Source organism: Homo sapiens, chromosome X (assembly GCF_000001405.40).
Source record: "Homo sapiens chromosome X, GRCh38.p14 Primary Assembly".
Lineage (NCBI taxonomy): Eukaryota > Metazoa > Chordata > Mammalia > Primates > Hominidae > Homo > Homo sapiens.
Window position 1 is genome coordinate 71,328,262 of NC_000023.11, and position 18,935 is coordinate 71,347,196.

Sequence of the window (18,935 nt, forward strand, 5' to 3'; positions counted from 1 at the left end):
GTGCGGTGGCTCACGCCTGTAATCTCAGCACTTTGGGAGGCCAAGGCGGGTGGATCACCTGAGGTCAGGAGTTCGAGACCAGCCTGACCAAAATGGTGAAACCCTGGCTCTACTAAAAATGCAAAAAATTAGCCGGGCATGGTGGCAGGCGCCTGTAATCCCAGCTACTCGGGAGGCTGAGGCAGGAGAATCCCTTGAACCCTAGAGGAGGATGTTGCAGTGAGCTGAGGTCGCGCCATTGCACTCCAGCCTGGGCAACAAGAGCACAACTCCATCTCAAAAAAAAAAAAAAAGTCTTCATACTTATAGCCTTCAGTAAAATTTTGTCATTTTACTCATATAAATGTTTTGTATATTTCTTGTTAGGTTTATTCCCCTATCATTTTTTTTCCATCACTGGAATGGCATATGGGATTTTTTTTTTTTTGAGACAGAGTCTCACTCTGTCGCTCAGGCTGGAGTGCAGTGGCGCAATCTTGGCTCACTGCAAGCTCCGCCTCCTGGTTTCACGCCATTCTCCTGCCTCAGCCTCCCAAGTAGCTGGGACCACAGGCGCCCGCCACCATGCCTGGCTAATTTTTTTTGTATTTTTAGTAGAGACGGGGTTTCACCGTGTTAGCCAGGATGATCTAGATCTCCTGACCTTGTGATCTGCCCCCCTCGGCCTCCCAAAGTGCTGGGATTACAGGCATGAGCCACCGCGCCGTGCCTTTTTTTTTTTTTTCTTAAGAGATGGGATCTCACTATTTTGACCAGGCTGGTCTTGAACTCCTGGTCTCTAATGATCCTTCTACCTCAGCCTCTCAAATTGCTGGCATTAAAATGTAAGCTACCACGCCTGGCCTCTCATATTTTCTAACTGAATGTTGTTTTTAAATAGGGGAAGTTATTCCCATAATGTGGGAGCAGGTAAAAAATTTTAAAAGGATAAAAAGAGAAAAGAAATAAATAGGGAAGTTACTGATTTAAAACTTATCAAACTTTTTTCTGTTTAATTCTAATAGGATCTCTTGATTCTCTTAGAGTGTTTATGTATCATATATAAACAGGGACATATAACTCTCTTTACAATATTTCTTTTTTTTTTTTTTTTTTGAGATGGAGTCTCGCTCTGTCACCCAGGATGGAGTGCAGTGGCGCAATCTTGGCTCACTGCAAGCTCCGCCTCCCGGGTTCACGCCATTCTCCTGCCTCAGCCTCCCGAGTAGCTGGGACCACAGGCGCCCACCACCGCACCCAGCTAATTTTTTTGTATTCTTTTAGTAGACACGGGGTTTCACCGTGTTAGCCAGGATGGTCTCCATCTCCTCACCTCATGATCCACCCGCTTTGGCCTCCCAAAGTGTTGGGATTACAGGCGTGAGCCACCACACCCAGCCTCTCTTTACAATATTTCTAACGTTTATCTTCTTTTTTTAATTTTTTTTTGTTTTTTTAAGAAATGGGTTTTTGCCATGTTGCCCAGGCTGGTCTCGAAATCCTGAGCTCAAGTGATCCACCCACCGCACCCTCCTAAAGTGCTGGGATTACAAGCGTGAGTCACTGTGCCCAGCTATAACTTTTATCTTCTTTTGTCTTAATGTTTTCACTAGAATCTGCAGAGCAATACTTACTAATATTTGTAAGACAGGTGAATATTCTTGTCTTGTTCTGACTTTGAAGGATGACACTAGTATTTCACTATTTTTGTTTGTTTGTTTTGAGATGGAGTCTCGCTCAGTTGCCCAGGCTGGAGTGCAGTGGCGCAATCTTGGCTCACTGCAAGCTCCGCCTCCCGGGTTTACGCCATTTTCCTGCCTCAGCCTCCCGAGTAGCTGGGACCACAGGCACCCGCCACCATGCCTGGCTAATTTTTTTTTGTATTTTTAGTAGAGATGGGGTTTCACCATGTTAGCCAGGATGGTCTAGATCTCCTGACCTCATGATCTGCCCGCCTCGGCCTCCCAAAGTGCTGGGATTACAGGCGTGAGCAACCGCGCCTGGCCATATTTCACTATTGAGTATGATGATTGAAATTGTTTTCTCATAGATAACTCTTTATCAAGTTGTGAATTTCTACAGTTTCTAGCCTATTGAGAATTTTTTTGTTTGGTTGGTTTTTTTTTTTTTTTTGAAACAGGGTCTTGCTCTGTCATCCAGTGCAGCGGGGCAATCATGGCTCACTGCAGCTTTGACCTCCTGGACTCAAGTGATCCTCTCACCTCAGCCTCCCAAGTAGATGGGACTACCAGCAGACACCACCACACTCAACTAATTTATTCTTATTGTTTGTAGAGATGGAGTCTCCCTATGTTGCCTAGGCTGGTCTCGAACTCCTAGGCTCAAGCAGTCCTACTGCCTTGGCCTCCCAAAGTGGTGGGATTATAGGCATGAGCCACAGCGCCTGGCTGAGAACATATTTTTAAGATACTATAAGAACAAAGTAAATAATTCAAATAGTAGAAAAAGGTATGTGAAGAGTTGTCCATCTCTGTTCCCCTGTTCCCAAATTTCCTTGCTGACAGGCAATTCCTGTTCATTTTTATATCTCCTACCAGAGATCAATTGATCCAAATATAAGCACATATATGAATGCTATTTTTTACACAAATAATAGAATAATATATACACTGTTCTAAGCCCTGATTTTTTTTTTTTTTTTTGAGACAGAGCCTCTCTCTGTCTCCCAGGCTGGAGTGCAGTGGCGTGATCTCGGCTCACTGCAACCTCCACCTCCTGGGTTCAAGCAGTTCTCTGCCACAACCTCCCGAGTAGCTGACATTACAGGCGCCTGCCACCATGCCCAGCTAATTTTTTGTATTTTTAGTAGAGATGAGGTTTCACCATCTTGGCCAGGCTAGTCTTGAACTCCTGACCTTGTGATCCACCCACCTCAGCCTCCCAAACTGCTGGGATTACAGGCGTGAGCCACTACACCCAGCCTAAGCCCTGATTTTTTAAGTCGAGCTGTGAGTCATTTCTTTTCTTTCTTTCTTTTTTTTTTTTTTTTGAGTCAGAGTCTTATTCTGTTGCCCAGGCTGGAGTGCAGTGGCGTGATCTAGGTTCACTGCAACCTCCGCCTCCTGGGTTCAAGCGATTTGCCTGCCTCAGCCTCCTGAGTAGCTGGGACTACAGGTGCTCGCCACCACGCCCGGCTAATTTTTGTATTTTTAGTAGAGACAGGGTTACTCCATGTTGGCCAGGCTGGTCACCAAACAAACAAAAAAACAAAAATTAGCCGGGCATGGTGGCACATACCTGTAATCCCAGCTACTTGGATGGCTGAGGCAGGAGAATCGCCTGAACCCAGGAGGCGGAGGTTGTAGTGAGCCGAGATGGTGTCACTGCACTCCAGTCTGGGCAACAGAGCAAGACTCTGTCTCAAAAAAAAAAAAAAAAAAAAAGTGTAAGGTAAAGTAAGGGTTCAACTGCATTCTGTAGCATCTCGATATACAGTTTTCTCTGCACCATTTGTTGAAGAGACTCTCTTTTTCCCCATTGAATATTGTTGGTACCCCCTTGTCAAAATCAATTGAGAATACGTAGTGTTTGCCTTTCCATGCCTGGCTTATTTCACTTGGCCTCATGTTCTCCAGTTCCATCTATGTTATCACAAATGACAAAATTTCCTTGTTTTTTATGGATGAATAGTATTCAGTTGCATATATATACCACATTTTCTTTATTCAGTCATCTGTTGATGGACACTTAGGGTGATTCCATAACAGGGCTATTGTGAATAGTGCTGCAAATACTGTTCTCTACTCATACGTGGAATCTAAAACAATTAAACTCAAAGAAGCAGAAAATAGAATGGTGTTTAACAGAGGCTGAGGGGTGGAGGAAATGGGGAGATGATGGTCAAAGGGTACAAAGCCTCAATTAGGAGGGATACCTTTCTTGTAAATTTGAGATATAAGGATGGGTGCGGTGACTTACGCCTGTAATCCCAGCCCTTCGGGAGGCTGAGGCAGGTGGATCACCTGAGGTTAGGAGTTCCAGACCAGCCTGGCCAACATGGCGAAACCCCGTCTCTACTAAAAATACAAAAATTAGCCGGGCATGGTGGCATGCGCCTGCAATCCCAGCTATTCAGGAGGCTGAGGCAGGAGAATCGCTTGAACCCGGGAGGCGGAGGTTGCAGTGAGCTGAGATCACGCCACTGCACTCCAGCCTGGGCAACAAGAGCAAAACTCTATCTCAAAAAAAAAAAAAAAAAATTTGAGATATATTGCACAGTGTAGTGAATATAGTAAATAATAATGCATTGCACATTTCAAAATTGCTAAGAGAAGCCAAGTGTGCTGGCTCACACCTGTAATCTCAACACTTTGGAAGGCTGAAGTGGGAGGAGGATCGCTTTAGGCCAGGAGTTTGAGGTTTGAGACCAGCCTGGGCAACATAGAGAGATTACGTCTCTACAAAACATAATAAAACAAAATGAAACAAAACAAAAATCACTAAGAGAGTAAATTTCAAATGTTCTTACCACAAAAATGGTGAGTATCTGAGGTGCTGAATGTGTTCATTAGCCTGATTTAATTATTCTGCTTGTATTCATGAGTCATAGCATCACTTTGTACCCCATAAATATTTACAACTATAACTTGTCAATTTATAATTTAAAATATAAAAACTAAAAAAGATCAATTGACCATATATGTGAGGATTTATTTCTGGGCTCTCTAGTCTATTCCATTGGTCCATATGTGTGTCTTTATGCCAGTATCACACTCTTTTGATTACTGTAGCTTTTGTAGTAAGTTTTCAAATCTGGAAGTGTAAGTCCTCCAACTTTTTTTTCTTCTTTTTAAAGACTGTTTTAGATAATTGAAGTCCCTTCAGATTCTACATGATTTTTTTTTTTTTTTGAGACTGAGTCTCACTCTGTTGCCCATGCTGGAGTGCAGTGGTGTGATCTCAGCTCACTGCAACTCTGCCTCCCGTGTTCAAGCGATTCTCCTGCCACAGCCTCCCAAGTAGCTGGGATAACAGGCACGGGTCACCACGCCTGGCTAAATTTTTTTTTTTTGTATTTTTATTACAGACAGGGTAATGTTGGTCCGGCCATGTTGGTCAGGCTGATCTCAAACTCCTGACCTCGTGATCCGCCCGCCTAGGCCTCCCAAAGTGCTGGGATTGCAGGCATGAGCCACAGTGCCTGGCCGATTCCACATGAATTTGAGGGTGCGTTTTCTATTTCTGCCAAAAATTGCATTGGGATTTTGATATGGATTGCATTGAATCTGTATATCATTTTGAAGTGGGTTTTTTTTTTTTTTTGAGACTAAGTCTTGCTCTATCGCCCAAGTTGGAGTGCAATGGCACAATCTCGGCTCACTGCAACCTCCACCTCCTGGGTTTAAGTGATTCTCCTGCCTCAGCCTCCTGAATACCTGGGATTACAGGCATTCACCATCATGCCCGGCTAATTTTTGTATTTTTGTCAAGATGGGGTTTCGCCATGTTGTCCAGGCTGTTCTTGAATTCCTGACCTCAGGTGATCTGCCTGCCTCGGCCTCCCAACGTGCTGGGATTACAGGCGTAAGCCACTGCGCCCAGACCAGAAGAGTATTTTTATCATAACAATATGAGGAGTAATTCATCATATAATGTCTTCCAATCCATGAAGACAGGATATCTTTCCATTTATTTATGTCTTCTTTAATTTCACTCAGCAATGTTTTGTAGTTTTCATTGCTAGCGTATGGAAATTCAATTAATTTTTGTGTGCTGATTTTGTATACTACAGCTTTGCTCAATTCACTTATTAGCTATAATCATTTTTTTTGTGTAACCTTTAGGGTTTTGTACATATATACCATCATGTCATCTGTAAAAAGAGACAATCTTACTTCTCCCTTTCCAATCTAGTTAACTTTTATTTCTTTTTCTTGCTTAATTACTGGCTAAAACTTCTGCTACTATATTTAATAGGAGTGGTGAAGGTAGCCGGACACGGTGGTTCACGTCTGTAATCCCAGCACTTTGGGAGGCTGAGGCGGGCAGATCACCTGAGGTCAGGAGTTCAAGACCAGCCTGACCAACATGGAGAAACCCCGTCTCTATTAAAAATACGAAATTAGCTGGACATGGTGGTGCATGCCTGTAATCCCAGCTACTCAGGAGGCTGAGGCAGGAGAATTGCTTGAACCTGGGAGGCGGAGGTTGCAGTGAGCCGAGATTGCAACATGGCACTCCAGCCTGGCAACAAGAGCGAAACTCCATCGCAAAAAAAGAAAAAAAGAAGTGGTGAAGGCAGTATCTTACCTTATGAAGAAAGCTTTCAATCTTTCACCATTGTGTATGATGTTACGTATGAGTTTTTCATATAGGTACTTTTTATCATGTTGAGGAAGTTCTCTTCTATTCCTAGTTTACTGTTTGCTTTTTATCATGACAGGATGTTGGATTTTGTCAAATACTTTTTCTACATCAACTGAGATGATCATGTGGTTTTTTCCTTCATTCTATTAATGTAGTTATATTCATTGATTGATTTTCCAATGTTTAACCATTCTTGCATTCTAGGAATAAATCCCAGTTGGTTATGGTCTATTACCTTTTAATATGCTGCTGAATTTGGTTTGCTAGCATTTTGTTAAGGTTTTTGCATCAATATTCATAAAGGATATTGGTCTGTAGTTTTCTTTTCACATAGTGTCTTTCTCTGGCTTTGATATCAGTGTAATGCTGACCTCATAGAATGAGCTAGGAAGTGTTCTTTCCTCTTCAAATTTTCAGAAGACTATCAGAAAGATTAGTGTTAATTCTTGGCCAGGCACAGTGGCTCACACCTGTAATCCCAGCACTTTGGGAGGCCGAGGCGGGTGGATCACGCAGTAAAGAGTTCAAGACCAGCCTGGCCGACATGGTGAAACCCATCTCTACTAAAAATAGAAAAATTAGCTGGGTGTGGTGGTGCGCGCCTGTAATTCCAGCTACTTGGGAGGCTGAAGCAGGAGAATTGCTTGAACCCGGGAGGTAGAGGTTGCAGTGAGCCGAGATCTCACCACTGCACTCCAACCTGGGAGACAGAGCAAGAGTCTTGTCTCCATAAAAAGAAAAAAAAAGGCCAGGCGCAGTGGCTCACACCTGTGATCCCAGCACTTTGGGAGGCCGAGGCAAGTGGATCACAAGGTCAGGAGATGGGGACCATCCTGGCTAACACGGTGAAACCCCGTCTCTACTAAAAAATAGAAAAAATTAGCCAGGCGTGATGGTGGGTGCCTGTAGTCCCAGCTACTTGGGAGGCTGAGGCAGGAGAATGGTGTGAACCCGGGAGGCGGAGCTTGCAATGAGCCAAGATCGTGCCACTGCACTCCAGCCTGGGCAACAGAGCGAGACTCCGTCTCAAAAAAAAAAAAATGATTAGTATTAATTCTTCATTAAATTTTTGGTAGAATTCACCAGTGAATCAATATGATCCTGGGCTTTTCTTTGTTGGGAGGTTTTTTATTACTGATTCAATCTCCTTACTAATTATAGAGCTTTTCAGGATTTCTAGTTCTTTATGGGTTGGTCTGGATAGATTATGTGTTTTTAGGAATTTACACATTTCAACTAGGTTATACAATTTGTTGGTGTACAGTTGTTGATAGTATTCTGTTATAATACTTTACAGTTATTATTATTTATTTTTGAGATAGGGTCTCACACTGTCGCCCAGGCTGGAGTGCAGTGGGGTGATCTCAGCTCACTGCAACTTCTACCTCCTGGGTTACAGCAATTCTCCTGCCCCAGCCTCCTGAGTAGCTGGGATTACTGGCACACACCACCATGCCTGGCTAATTTTTGTATTTTTAGTAGAGACAGCATTTCACCATGTTGGCCAGGCGGTCTCAAACTCCTGACCTCAAGTAATCCGCCCCGTGTTGGCTTCCCACAGTGTTGGGATTACAGGCGTGAGACACCACACCTGGCTTACTTTACAGTTCTTTACAATTGTAACTGCCCAAGAGGTTTACCTTGCCAGCTGCCTAGACAGAGCCGATTTATCAAGACAGGGGGATTGCAATAGAGAAAGAGTAATTCTTGCAGAGCCAGCTGTGGAGGAGACCGGAGTTTTATTATTACTCAAATCAGTCTCCCAGAGCATCCTGGGAGCAGGGTTTTTTTTTTTTTTTTTTGAGACAGAGTCTTGCTCTGTCACCTAGGCTGGAGTGCAGTGGCGCCATCTTGGCTCACTGCAAGCTCCGCCTCCCGGGTTCACGCCATTCAGCTAATTTTTTGCATTTTTAGTAGAGACAGGGTTTCACCGTGTTAGCCAGGATGGTCTCCATCTCCTGACTCCGTGATCCGCCCACCTCGGCCTCCCAAAGTGCTGGGATTACAGGCATGACAAGCACAGATTTTAGGAGCAGTTTAGGTGGGTCAGAATCTTGTAGCCTCCAGCTGCATGACTCCTAAACTGTAAATTCTAATCTTGTAGCTAATGTTAGTCTCACAAAGGCAATCTAGTCCCCAGGCAAAAAGGAGGTCTGCTTTGGGAAAGGGCTGTTACCGTCTTTGTTTAAACTATAAACTATAAACTAAGTTTTTCCCAAAGTTAGTTCAGCCTGCGCCCAGGAATGAACAAGGACAGCTTGGAGGTTAGAAGCAAGATGAAGTCAGTTAAGTTAGATCTCTTTCATTGTCTCAGTTATAATTTTGCAAAGGCGGTTTCAATCCCTCCCTCTGGGTTTTTAAACACCTTAATCTTAAGATGTAGGCTATGAAAAGTCGGTTTGGTAATAATGTTCCCATCTTCATTTCTGATTTTAATTATTTGGGTCTTTTCTATTTTTCTTTTTCTTTTCTCTTTTCTTTCTTTTTTTAACAGACAGGGTCTTACTCTGTTACCGAAGCTGGTCTTGAACTCCTGGACTCAAGCAGTCCTCCTGCCTCTGTTTCCCAAAGGTTGCTCTTTTTTTTCTTATTCCTTAAGGTATATATTTAGGTTATTAATTGGAGACTTTTTTTTTTTGAGATGGAGTGTCGCTCTGTCGCCTAGGCTGGAGTGCAGTCCCACAATCTCGGCTCATTGCAACCTCTACCCCCCTGCTTCAAGCCTCCTACTTCCTACCTCAGCCTCCCGAGTAGCTAGGATTACAGGCACTCACCACCACGCCCAGCTAATTTTTTGTATTTTTAATAGAGACAGCGTTTCATCCTGTTGGCCAGGCTGGTCTTGAACTCCTGACCTCAAGTGATCTGCCCATCTCGGCCTCCCAAAGTGCTGGGATTAGAGGCATGAGCCACTGCACCTGGCTGAGACATTTCTTTTTTAATGTATGTATTTACAACTACAAATTTCCCTGTTCCCACTGCTTTCACTGCATCCGGTAAGTTTTAGTATTTTGTGTTTTCATTTTAATTTGTCTCAAAGTATTTTCTCATTTCACTTGTGATTTCTTCTATTACCCACTGATTGTTTTAGAATGTGTTGTTTAATTTCCACATACTTGTGAATTTTCCAGTTTAATTATGTTGCTTTCTAGTTTCATTTCATTGTGATCAGATCACAAAAGATTATTTCAATCTGTTTCAATTTATTGAGGCTTGTTTTGTGGCCTAACATATGGTCTTTCCTCAAAATATTCCATGTACACTTGTGAAGAATTTGTATTCTGCTATTGTTCTGCATATGTCTGTTAGGTCTAATTGGTTTATAGTTTTGTTCAAATCTTCCATTTCTACATTGACCCTTTGTCTGGTTGTATTGGCCATTATTGAAAGTGGGGTATTGAGGTCTCCAACTATTATTGTAGAAGTATTTTTCCCCTTCATTTCTGTCAATTTTTGGCTTATATATTTTGGAACTCTGTTATTAGGTGCTGCTATGATTTGGTCCCCACCAACACTCATGTTGAAATTTGATCATCAGTGTGGCCATGTTGGGAGGTGGGGCCTAGTGTTTGGCTCATGGAGGGGGATGGAGATCCCTCTTGAATGGCTTAGTATCATTCTTATGGTAGTGAGTGAGTTCCTGCTCTGGTGAGACTGGATTAGTTCTTGCTGGAATGGATTAATTTCCATGAAAATGGATTGTTATAAAATCAGGATGCCCCTCAACTTTTGTTTGTTCACAGGTGTCTGTTTCCACTTTGACCTTCTCTGCCATGTTATGATGTAGCATGAAACCCCTTGCCAGAAGCCAGGGCCATGCCCTTAAACTTCCCAGCCTACAAAACTGTGAGCTAAATACCTTTTTTGTTTATAAATTACTCAGTCTTGAGTATTCTGTTATAGCAACTCAAAATGGACTAAGACAGGTGTATACATGTTTATAATTGTTATATCTTCTTGCTGTATAAACCTTTTATCAATATTTAATGTCCTTTGTCTAAACTTTTTTGGTGTAAAGCCTATTTTGTCTGACAATAATGTAGTCACCACAGCTCTCTTTTGATTACTATTTGCATGCAGTATCTTTCCCAATCTTTTTACTTTCAATCTCTTTGTGTCCTTATATCTAACATGAGACTCTTATGGACAGTATATAGATGGATCTTTTTAAAAATCTAACCTGCTAATTTCTGCCTTTTACTAGGAGAGTTTAATCCATGTATACATAATGTGAATACTGATAAAGAGGGATTTACTTTTGCCATTTATCTATTTGTTTCTTTTTTTTTTTTTGAGATGGAGTCTCGCTCTGTCACCCAGGCTGGAGTGCAGTGGTGTGGTCTCGGCTCACTGCAAGCTCCACCTCCTGGGTTCACGCCATTCTCCTGCCTCAGCCTCCCGAGTAGCTGGGACCACAGGCACCCGCCACCACGCCCGGCTAATTTTTTGTATTTTTAGTAGAGATGGGGTTTCACCATGTTAGTCAGGATGGTCTCTATCTCCTGACCTCGTGATCCGCCCGCCTCAGCCTCCCAAAGTGCTGGGATTACAGGTGTGAGCCACCGTGCCCGGCCATCTATTTGTTTCTTTATGTCTTGTATGGGTTTCGTTCCTCAGTTCTTCCATTACTGCCTTTTAAAAATTTAGTTGTTTTTTTGGTGGTGTACCATTTTGATTCCCTTCTTCTTTCCTTCTCTATATGTTAAGGTTTTTTTCTTAGTGGTATTTCCAGTCTAGTGGCTCACACTCAATAATCTCAGCACTTTGGGAGGCTGAGGTGGGAGAATCAATTGAGGCCAGCAGTTTAAGACCAGCCTGGGCAATATCATAGTGAGACCTGTCTCTAAAAAAAAAAAAAAAAATATCCCTTTGTCTTTGGCTTTCAACAATTTGACTGTAATGTGTCTTGATGTGGATCTCTTTGTTTATCCTGCTTGGAGTTTAACTGTTGAACATGTATATTCGTGTCTTTTCTCAGATTTGAGAAGTTTTTGGCCATTATTTCTTCGAGTATTTTTTCTGGCTAGGTGTGGTGGTTCATGCCTATAATCCCAACACTTTGGGAGGCCAATGCAGGAGGATTGCTTGAGGTCAGGAATTCAAGACCAGCCTGGCCAACATAGTAAGGCCCTATCCCTACAAAAAATTTAAAAATTATGGCCGGGCATGGTGGCTCATGCTTGTAATCACAGCACTTTGGGAGGCTGAGGCAGGTGGATCACCTGAGGTCAGGAGTTCACGACCAGCCTGGCCAACATGGTAAAACCCCGTCTCTACTAAAAATACACACACACACAAAAATTATCCGGGCGTAGTGGCAGGTGCCTGTAATCACAGCTGCTCAGGAGGCTGAGGTAGGAGAATTGCTTGAACCTGGGAGGCGGAGGTTGCAGTGAGCCAAGATTGTGCCATTGCACTCCAGCCTGGGTAACAAGAGCAAAACTCCATCTCAAAAAAAAAAAAAAATTAAAAAATTAGATATGGTGGCATATGCCTGTAGTCCCAGCTACTCAGGAGGCTGAGGCAGGAGGATCATTTTGAGCCACGGAGTTCGAGGCTGCAGTGAGCTATGATTGCACCACCACACTCCAGCCTGGGTGACAGAGTGAGACCCTGTCTCTAAAACTATATACATACACCTTCCTTCTTTTGAAACTGTATACCTATATACATATACCTATCTTCTTTTGAAACTATATACGTATATATAGTTTTAGATATAATTAAATATATGTATATATATTTCTTTTTTTTTTTTCTTTTTGAGATGGAGTCTCACTCTGTCACCCAGGCTGGAGTGCAGTGGCATGATCTCGGCTCACTGCAACCTCCGCCCTCCAAATTCAAGCGATTCTCCTGCCTCAGCCTCCCAAGTAGCTGGGATTACAGGCGCCTGCCACCGTGCCCAGCTAATTTTTTGTATTTTTAGTAGAGACAGGGTTTCACCATCTTGGCCAGGCTGGTCTTGAACTCCTGACCTCGTGATCCACCCGCCTTGGCCTCCCAAAGTGCTGGGATTGTAGGCACGAGCCACCACGCCCGCCCTGTATATGTATATTTCTATACATACAAATAAATATTTGTATATGTATTTCTTTTTTATTTTTATTTTTATTTTTATTTTTTTTTATTGATCATTCTTGGGTGTTTCTCGCAGAGGGGGATTTGGCAGGGTCATAGGACAATAGTGGAGGGAAGGTCAGCAGATAAACAAGTGAACAAAGGTCTCTGGTTTTCCTAGGCAGAGGACCCTGAGGCCTTCCGCAGTGTTTGTGTCCCTGGGTACTTGAGATTAGGGAGTGGTGATGACTCTTAACGAGCATGCTGCCTTCAAGCATCTGTTTAACAAAGCACATCTTGCACCGCCCTTAATCCATTTAACCCTGAGTGGACACAGCACATGTTTCAGAGAGCACAGGGTTGGGGGTAAGGTCATAGATCAACAGGATCCCAAGGCAGAAGAATTTTTCTTAGTACAGAACAAAATGAAAAGTCTCCCATGTCTACTTCTTTCTACACAGACACGGCAACCATCCGATTTCTCAATCTTTTCCCCACCTTTCCCCCCTTTCTGTTCCACAAAACTGCCACTGTCATCATGGCCCGTTCTCAATGAGCCGCTGGGCACACCTCCCAGACGGGGTGGTGGCCGGGCAGAGGGGCTCCTCACTTCCCAGCAGGGGCGGCCAGGCAGAGGCGCCCCTCACCTCCCGGACGGGGCGGCTGGCCGGGCGGGGGGCTGACCCCCCACCTCCCTCCCGCACGGGGTGGCTGGCCGGGCAGAGGGGCTCCTCACTTCCCAGTAGGGGCGGCCGGGCAGAGACGCCCCTCACCTCCTGGACGGGGCGGCTGGCCGGGCGGGGGGCTGACACCCCCCACCTCCTTCCCGGACGGGGCGGCTGGCTGGGTGGGGGGCTGACCCCCCCACCTCCCTCCCGGACGGGGCGGCTGGCCGGGCAGAGGGGCTCCTCACTTCCAGTAGGGGAGGCCGGGCAGAGGCGCCCCTCACCTCCCGGACCGGGCGGCTGGCCGGGCGGGGGGCTGACTCCCCCACCTCCCTCCCGGACGGGGCGGCTGGCCGGCTGGGGGGCTGACCCCCCCCACCTCCCTCCCGGACGGGGCGGCTGGCCTGGCGGGGGCTGACCCCCACCTCCCTCCCGGACGGGGTGGCTGCCGGGCGGAGACGCTCCTCACTTCCCAGACGGGGCGGCTGCCGGGTGGAGGGGCTCCTCACTTCTCAGACGGGGCGGTTGCCAGGCAGAGGGTCTCCTCACTTCTCAGATGGGGCGGCCAGGCAGAGACGCTCCTCACCTCCCAGATGGGGTCGCGGCCGGGCAGAGGCGCTCCCCACATCTCAGACGATGGGCGGCCGGGCAGAGACGCTCCTCACTTCCTAGATGGGATGGCGGCCAGGAAGAGGCGCTCCTCACTTCCTAGATGGGATGGCGGCCGGGCAGAGACGCTCCTCAATTTCCAGACTGGGCAGCCAGGCAGAGGGGCTCCTCACATCCCAGACGATGGGCGGCCAGGCAGAGACGCTCCTCACTTCCCAGACGGGGTGGCGGCCGGGCCGAGGCTGCAATCTCGGCACTTTGGGAGGCCAAGGCAGGCGGCTGGGAGGTAAAGGTTGTAGCGAGCCGAGATCACGCCACTGCACTCCAGCCTGGGCACCATTGAGCACTGAGTGAACAAGACTCCGTCTGCAATCCCGGCACCTCGGGAGGCCGAGGCTGGCGGATCACTCGCGGTTAGGAGCTGGAGACAAGCCCGGCCAACACAGCGAAACCCCGTCTCCACCAAAAAAATACGAAAACCAGTCAGGCGTGGTGGCGTGCGCCTGCAATCGCAGGCACTCGGCAGGCTGAGGCAGGAGAATCAGGCAGGGAGATTGCAGTGAGCCGAGATGGCAGCAGTACAGTCCAGCTTCAGCTCGGCATCAGAGGGAGACCATGGAAAGAGAGGGAGACCGTGGGGAGAGGGAGACCGTGGGGAGAGGGAGAGGGGGAGGGGGAGGGGGAGGGGGAGCGGAGGGAGAGGGAGAGGGAGAGGGAGCTTGTATATGTATTTCTGTCTTTTTCTTTCTCTCTTCTCCTTTTGATACTCCTAAAATGCATATGTTGGTATGTCTGATGATGTCCTATAGGTCGCTCAGGTTCTGTTTATTTTTCTTCATTCTTTTGCCTCGATCTTTAGAATGGATAATTTCAATTGACTCATCTTCAAGTCTGTGATCCTTTCTTCTGCCTGCTCTAATTTCTATCTCTTTATCAATATTCTCATTTTTTCATACATTATTTCACTGATTTACTTTAATTTTTTGTACATGGTTTCCTTTAGCTCACTGAACATATTTAAGACAGGTGATTAGGCCGGGTGCGGTGGCTCACGCCTGTAATCCCAGCACTTTGGGAGGCCGAGGCGGGCGGATCACGAGGTCAGGAGATTGAGACCATCCTGGCTAACACGGTGAAACCCCATCTCTACTAAAAATACAAAAAATTAGCCAGGCGTGGTGGTGGGCACCGGTAGTCCCAGGTACTCGGGAGGCTGAGGCAGGAGAATGGCATGAACCTGGGAGGCGGAGCTTGCAGTGAGCCGAGATTGCGACTCCAGCCTGGGCGACAGAGTGAGACTCTGTCTCAAAAAAAAAAAAAAAAAAAAGACAGGTGATTAATATCTTTGACTAGTAATTCCAATTTCTGAGCCTCCTCTGGGATGGTTTCTGTCAAATTCTGTTTTTCCTGTGGTTGGGCCATACTTTCTTTTTTCTTTTTTTTTTCTTTGAGACGGAGTCTTGCTCTGTAGCCCAGGCTGGAGTGCAGTGGCACGATCTTGGCTCACTGCAGCCTCTGCCTCCCAGGCTCAAGCAATTCTTCTGCCTCAGCCTCCTGAGTAGCTGGGATTACAGGCATGCGCCACCATGTCCGGCTAATTTTTGTATTTTTAGTAGAGACGGGGTTTCACCATGTTGGTCAGGCTGGTCTCAAACTTCTGACCTCGTGATCCACCCACCTCGGCCTCCCAAAGTGCTGGGATCACAGGCGTGAGCCACCGCGCCCAGCCTTACTTTCTTGTTTATTTGTATGTTTTATAATTCATTTGAGAACTGGACATTTTAAGTATTATTTTGTAGTAACTCTGGAGATCTAAATCTCCTCCTCAGGGATTGCTGAATCTTGCTTGTTGAAGGCCAGAGCTATCTGTTTGTGACTTCCACAAACTAATTTTTGCAAATTGTATATTCCTTGTTGTGTGTCGCCACTAAAGTTTCTGTTCTGTTATCTCTGAGGTCAGTCGATGACCTGACAAAGATTTCCTTAAATTTCTGGCTCTCCTTATAAGGCTACCTTCTTTTGAAAAAAGAAAAGAAAAAAAATAAATAAAATTTCTGGCTTCTCAAAAGGGAAATGGCTATCAAGCTATGAAAAGACATGAAGGAAGCTTAAATGCAATTACTAACTGAAAGAAGCCAATCTGAAAAGGCTACATACTGGATGATTTCAACTATATGACATTCTGGAAAGGGCAAAACTATGGAGATGGTAGAAAGATCTGTGGTTGCCAGGGGTTGGGGGGAAGAGGGATGAATACGTGGAGTACAGAGGATTTTTAAGACAGGGAAACTATTCTGTATGATACCATAATAGTGAAAACATGTCATTATACATTTGTCAAAACCCATAGAATGTATAATACCAAGAGTGAACCTTAAAATAAACTACGGACTTTTGAATGATAGTAATGTGTCAGTGTAGGCTCAACAATTATTTATTCACTTACTTATTTTAATTTAATTTAATTTTATTTTATTTTCTGAGACAGAGTCTTGCTATGTCACCCAGGCTGGAGTTCAGTGGCGCGATCTCAGCTCACTGCAAGCTCCGCCTCCCGGGTTCACGCCATTCTGCTGCCTCAGCCTCCCCAGCAGCTGGGACTACAGGTGCCTGCCGCCACGCCCAGCTAATTTTTTTGTATTTTTAGTAGAGACGGGGTTTCACCGTGTTAGCCAGGATGGTCTCAATCTCCTGACCTCGTGATCCGCCCACCTCGGCCTCCCAAAGTGCTGGGATTACAGGTGTGAGCCACCGCGCCCAGCCTCATTTTATTTTTGAGACTGAGTTTCGCTCTTGTTGCCCAGGCTGGAGTGCAATGGCGCAATCTCGGCTAACAGCAACCTCTGCCTCTGGGTTCAAGCGATTCTCCTGCCTTAGCCTCCCGAGTAGCTGGGATTACAGGCATGCGCCACCACGCTCAGCCAATTTTGTATTTTTATTAGAGACGGGGTTTCTCCATGTTGGTCAGGCTGGTCTCGAACTCCCGACCTCAGGTGATCTGCCTGCCTCGGCCTCCCAAAGTGCTGGGATTATAGTCATGAGTCACCGCACCCGGCCAACAATTATTTATTTATTTATTTTTCCGATGGAGTCTCACTCTGTCACCCAGGCTGGAGTGCAGTGGCATGATCTTGGCTCACTGCAACCTCCAACTCCTGGGTTCAAGCGATTCTCGTGCCTTAGCCTCCCGAGTAGCTGGGATTACAGGTGCGTGCCACCATGCCCGGCTAATTTTTGTATTTTTAATGGAGACAGGGTTTACACCATGTTGGCCAGGCTAGTCTTGAACTCCTGACCTCAAGTGATCCACCCACCTCGGCTTCTAAAAGTGCTGGGATTACAGGCATGAGCCACCATGCCCAGTCAGCTCAACAATAGCACACTGTTCTTTGTTCTCTTTTTCCATTCTGATGCTAGAGTTTGATAGTAGGGGAGGTTGTGGGGTGCAGCACGGAATATATGGGAACTCTCTGTACTTTCCACTTGATTTTACTGTGAACTTAAAATTGCTCTAAAAAATAAAGTCTATTTTTGGTAGAAACAGGGTTTCATCGTGTTGCCCAGGCTAGTCTCAAACTCCTGAGCTCATGCAATCTGCCCACTTCAGCCTTGCAAAGTGCTGGAATTATTAGGCATGGGCCACTGTGCCCAACCTGGAAATATATTAATGTAAGGTTTGTTTTTTTTTTGAGGGAGTCTCGCTCTATTGCCCAGGCTGGAGTGCAGTGGCATGATCTCGGCTCACTGTAATCTCCACCTCCCAGGTTCAAGCGATTCTCCTGCCCCAGCCTCCCGAGTAGCTGGGACTACAGGCATGCACCACCACACCTGGCCAATTTTTGTATTTTTAGTAGAGATGGGGTTTTGCCATGTTGGCCAGGCTGGTCTCGCACTCCTGACCTCAGATGATCTGCCTGCCTCAGCCTACCAGTGTGCTGAGATTACAGGCGTGAGCAACCGCACCTGGCCTATTAATGTAAGGCTGTTACACTCTCTGTGAAATAGTATAATATTTGAAGGTAGATGGAGATAGGTTAAAAATGTCTCTATAAACCTGTAAGCAACCACTAAAACAAGGAGGAATAGCTAATAACCCAATATAGGAGATATAATGGAATAAAAGTAATATTGACTAATCCAAAAGAAGTCAGAAAAAGAGAACAAAGAGATGGGACGAATAAAAACAAGATGATAGACCCAAATCTAATTATATTAACAATCATTAAACTTAGATGTTCTTAACACCCTAATTACAGGGTAGAGATGATCAGATTGGGTAGAAAAGCAAGATTTGCCAGGTGCAGTGGTTCACACCTATAATTTCAGCACTTTGGGAGCTGAAGGCAGGTGTATTGCTTGAGCCCAGGAGTTCAAGACCAGCCTGGGCAACACAGAGACCTGTCTCTGCAAAAAGTAAAACTAGACAGGTGGCTGGGCACGGTGGCTCACGCCTGTAATCCTAGCACTTTGGGAGGCCGAGAAGAGCAGATCACCTGAGGTCAGGAATTTGAGACCAACCTGGCCAACATGGCGAAGCCCCCTCTCTACTAAAAATACAAACATTAGCCAGGTGTGGTGGCGCGTGCCTGTAGTCTCAGCTACTTAGGAGGCTGAGGCAGGAGAATCGCTTGAACCCGGGAGGTGGAGGTTGCAGTGAGCCGAGATTGCACCACTGCACTCCAGCCTGGATAACAGAGCGAGACTCTGTCTCAACAAAACAAAACAAAACATAACAAAACAAAACAGCAAAGACACAGGCCGCATGCATAATTCTAACACTTTGGGAGGCTGAGGTGGGCAGATCACTTGAGCCCAAGAGTTCGAGACCAGCCTGGGCAACATGGTGAAACCCTGTCTCTACAAAAAATACAAAAATTAGCTGGGCATGGTGGTGCTCGCCTGTAGTGGAGAGGCTGTGGTGGGAGGATCACCTGAGCCCAGGAGGTGGAGGCTGGGGTGAGCTGTGGTCATATCACTGCACTCCAGCCTAGGGACAGAGTGAGATTCTGTCTCAAAAAATAAATGAATAAAGAAATAAAATTAATTAAAAATTTTAAATTTATTTTAAAATTATAAAAACAATAAATAAAAATTAAAAATGTAATATACCAAAAACCACTGAATTGTAAATTTTAAATGGTGTATGAATTTATATCTCAGTAAAGCTGTACGATTCCATTTATATAAAACTCTTGGAAATTCAAACTAATGTACACTGATAGAAAGGAACTGTAATTCTCGCACTACCTCATTGTCTTTTTTTTTTTTTAAGATTATATTTGTTTTGGAGACTGG

At 45.4% G+C, this 18,935-nt stretch overlaps 1 annotated feature.

Annotated features, from left to right (window-relative positions):
• Positions 12,373-13,293: an enhancer, noted in NCBI's record as "NANOG-H3K27ac hESC enhancer chrX:70560484-70561404 (GRCh37/hg19 assembly coordinates)". NCBI's record gives its function as "activates a minimal SCP1, AML or CMV promoter by ChIP-STARR-seq in primed H9 embryonic stem cells {active_cell/tissue: H9 hESC(primed)}" and the evidence as "EXISTENCE:reporter gene assay evidence [ECO:0000049][PMID:30033119]".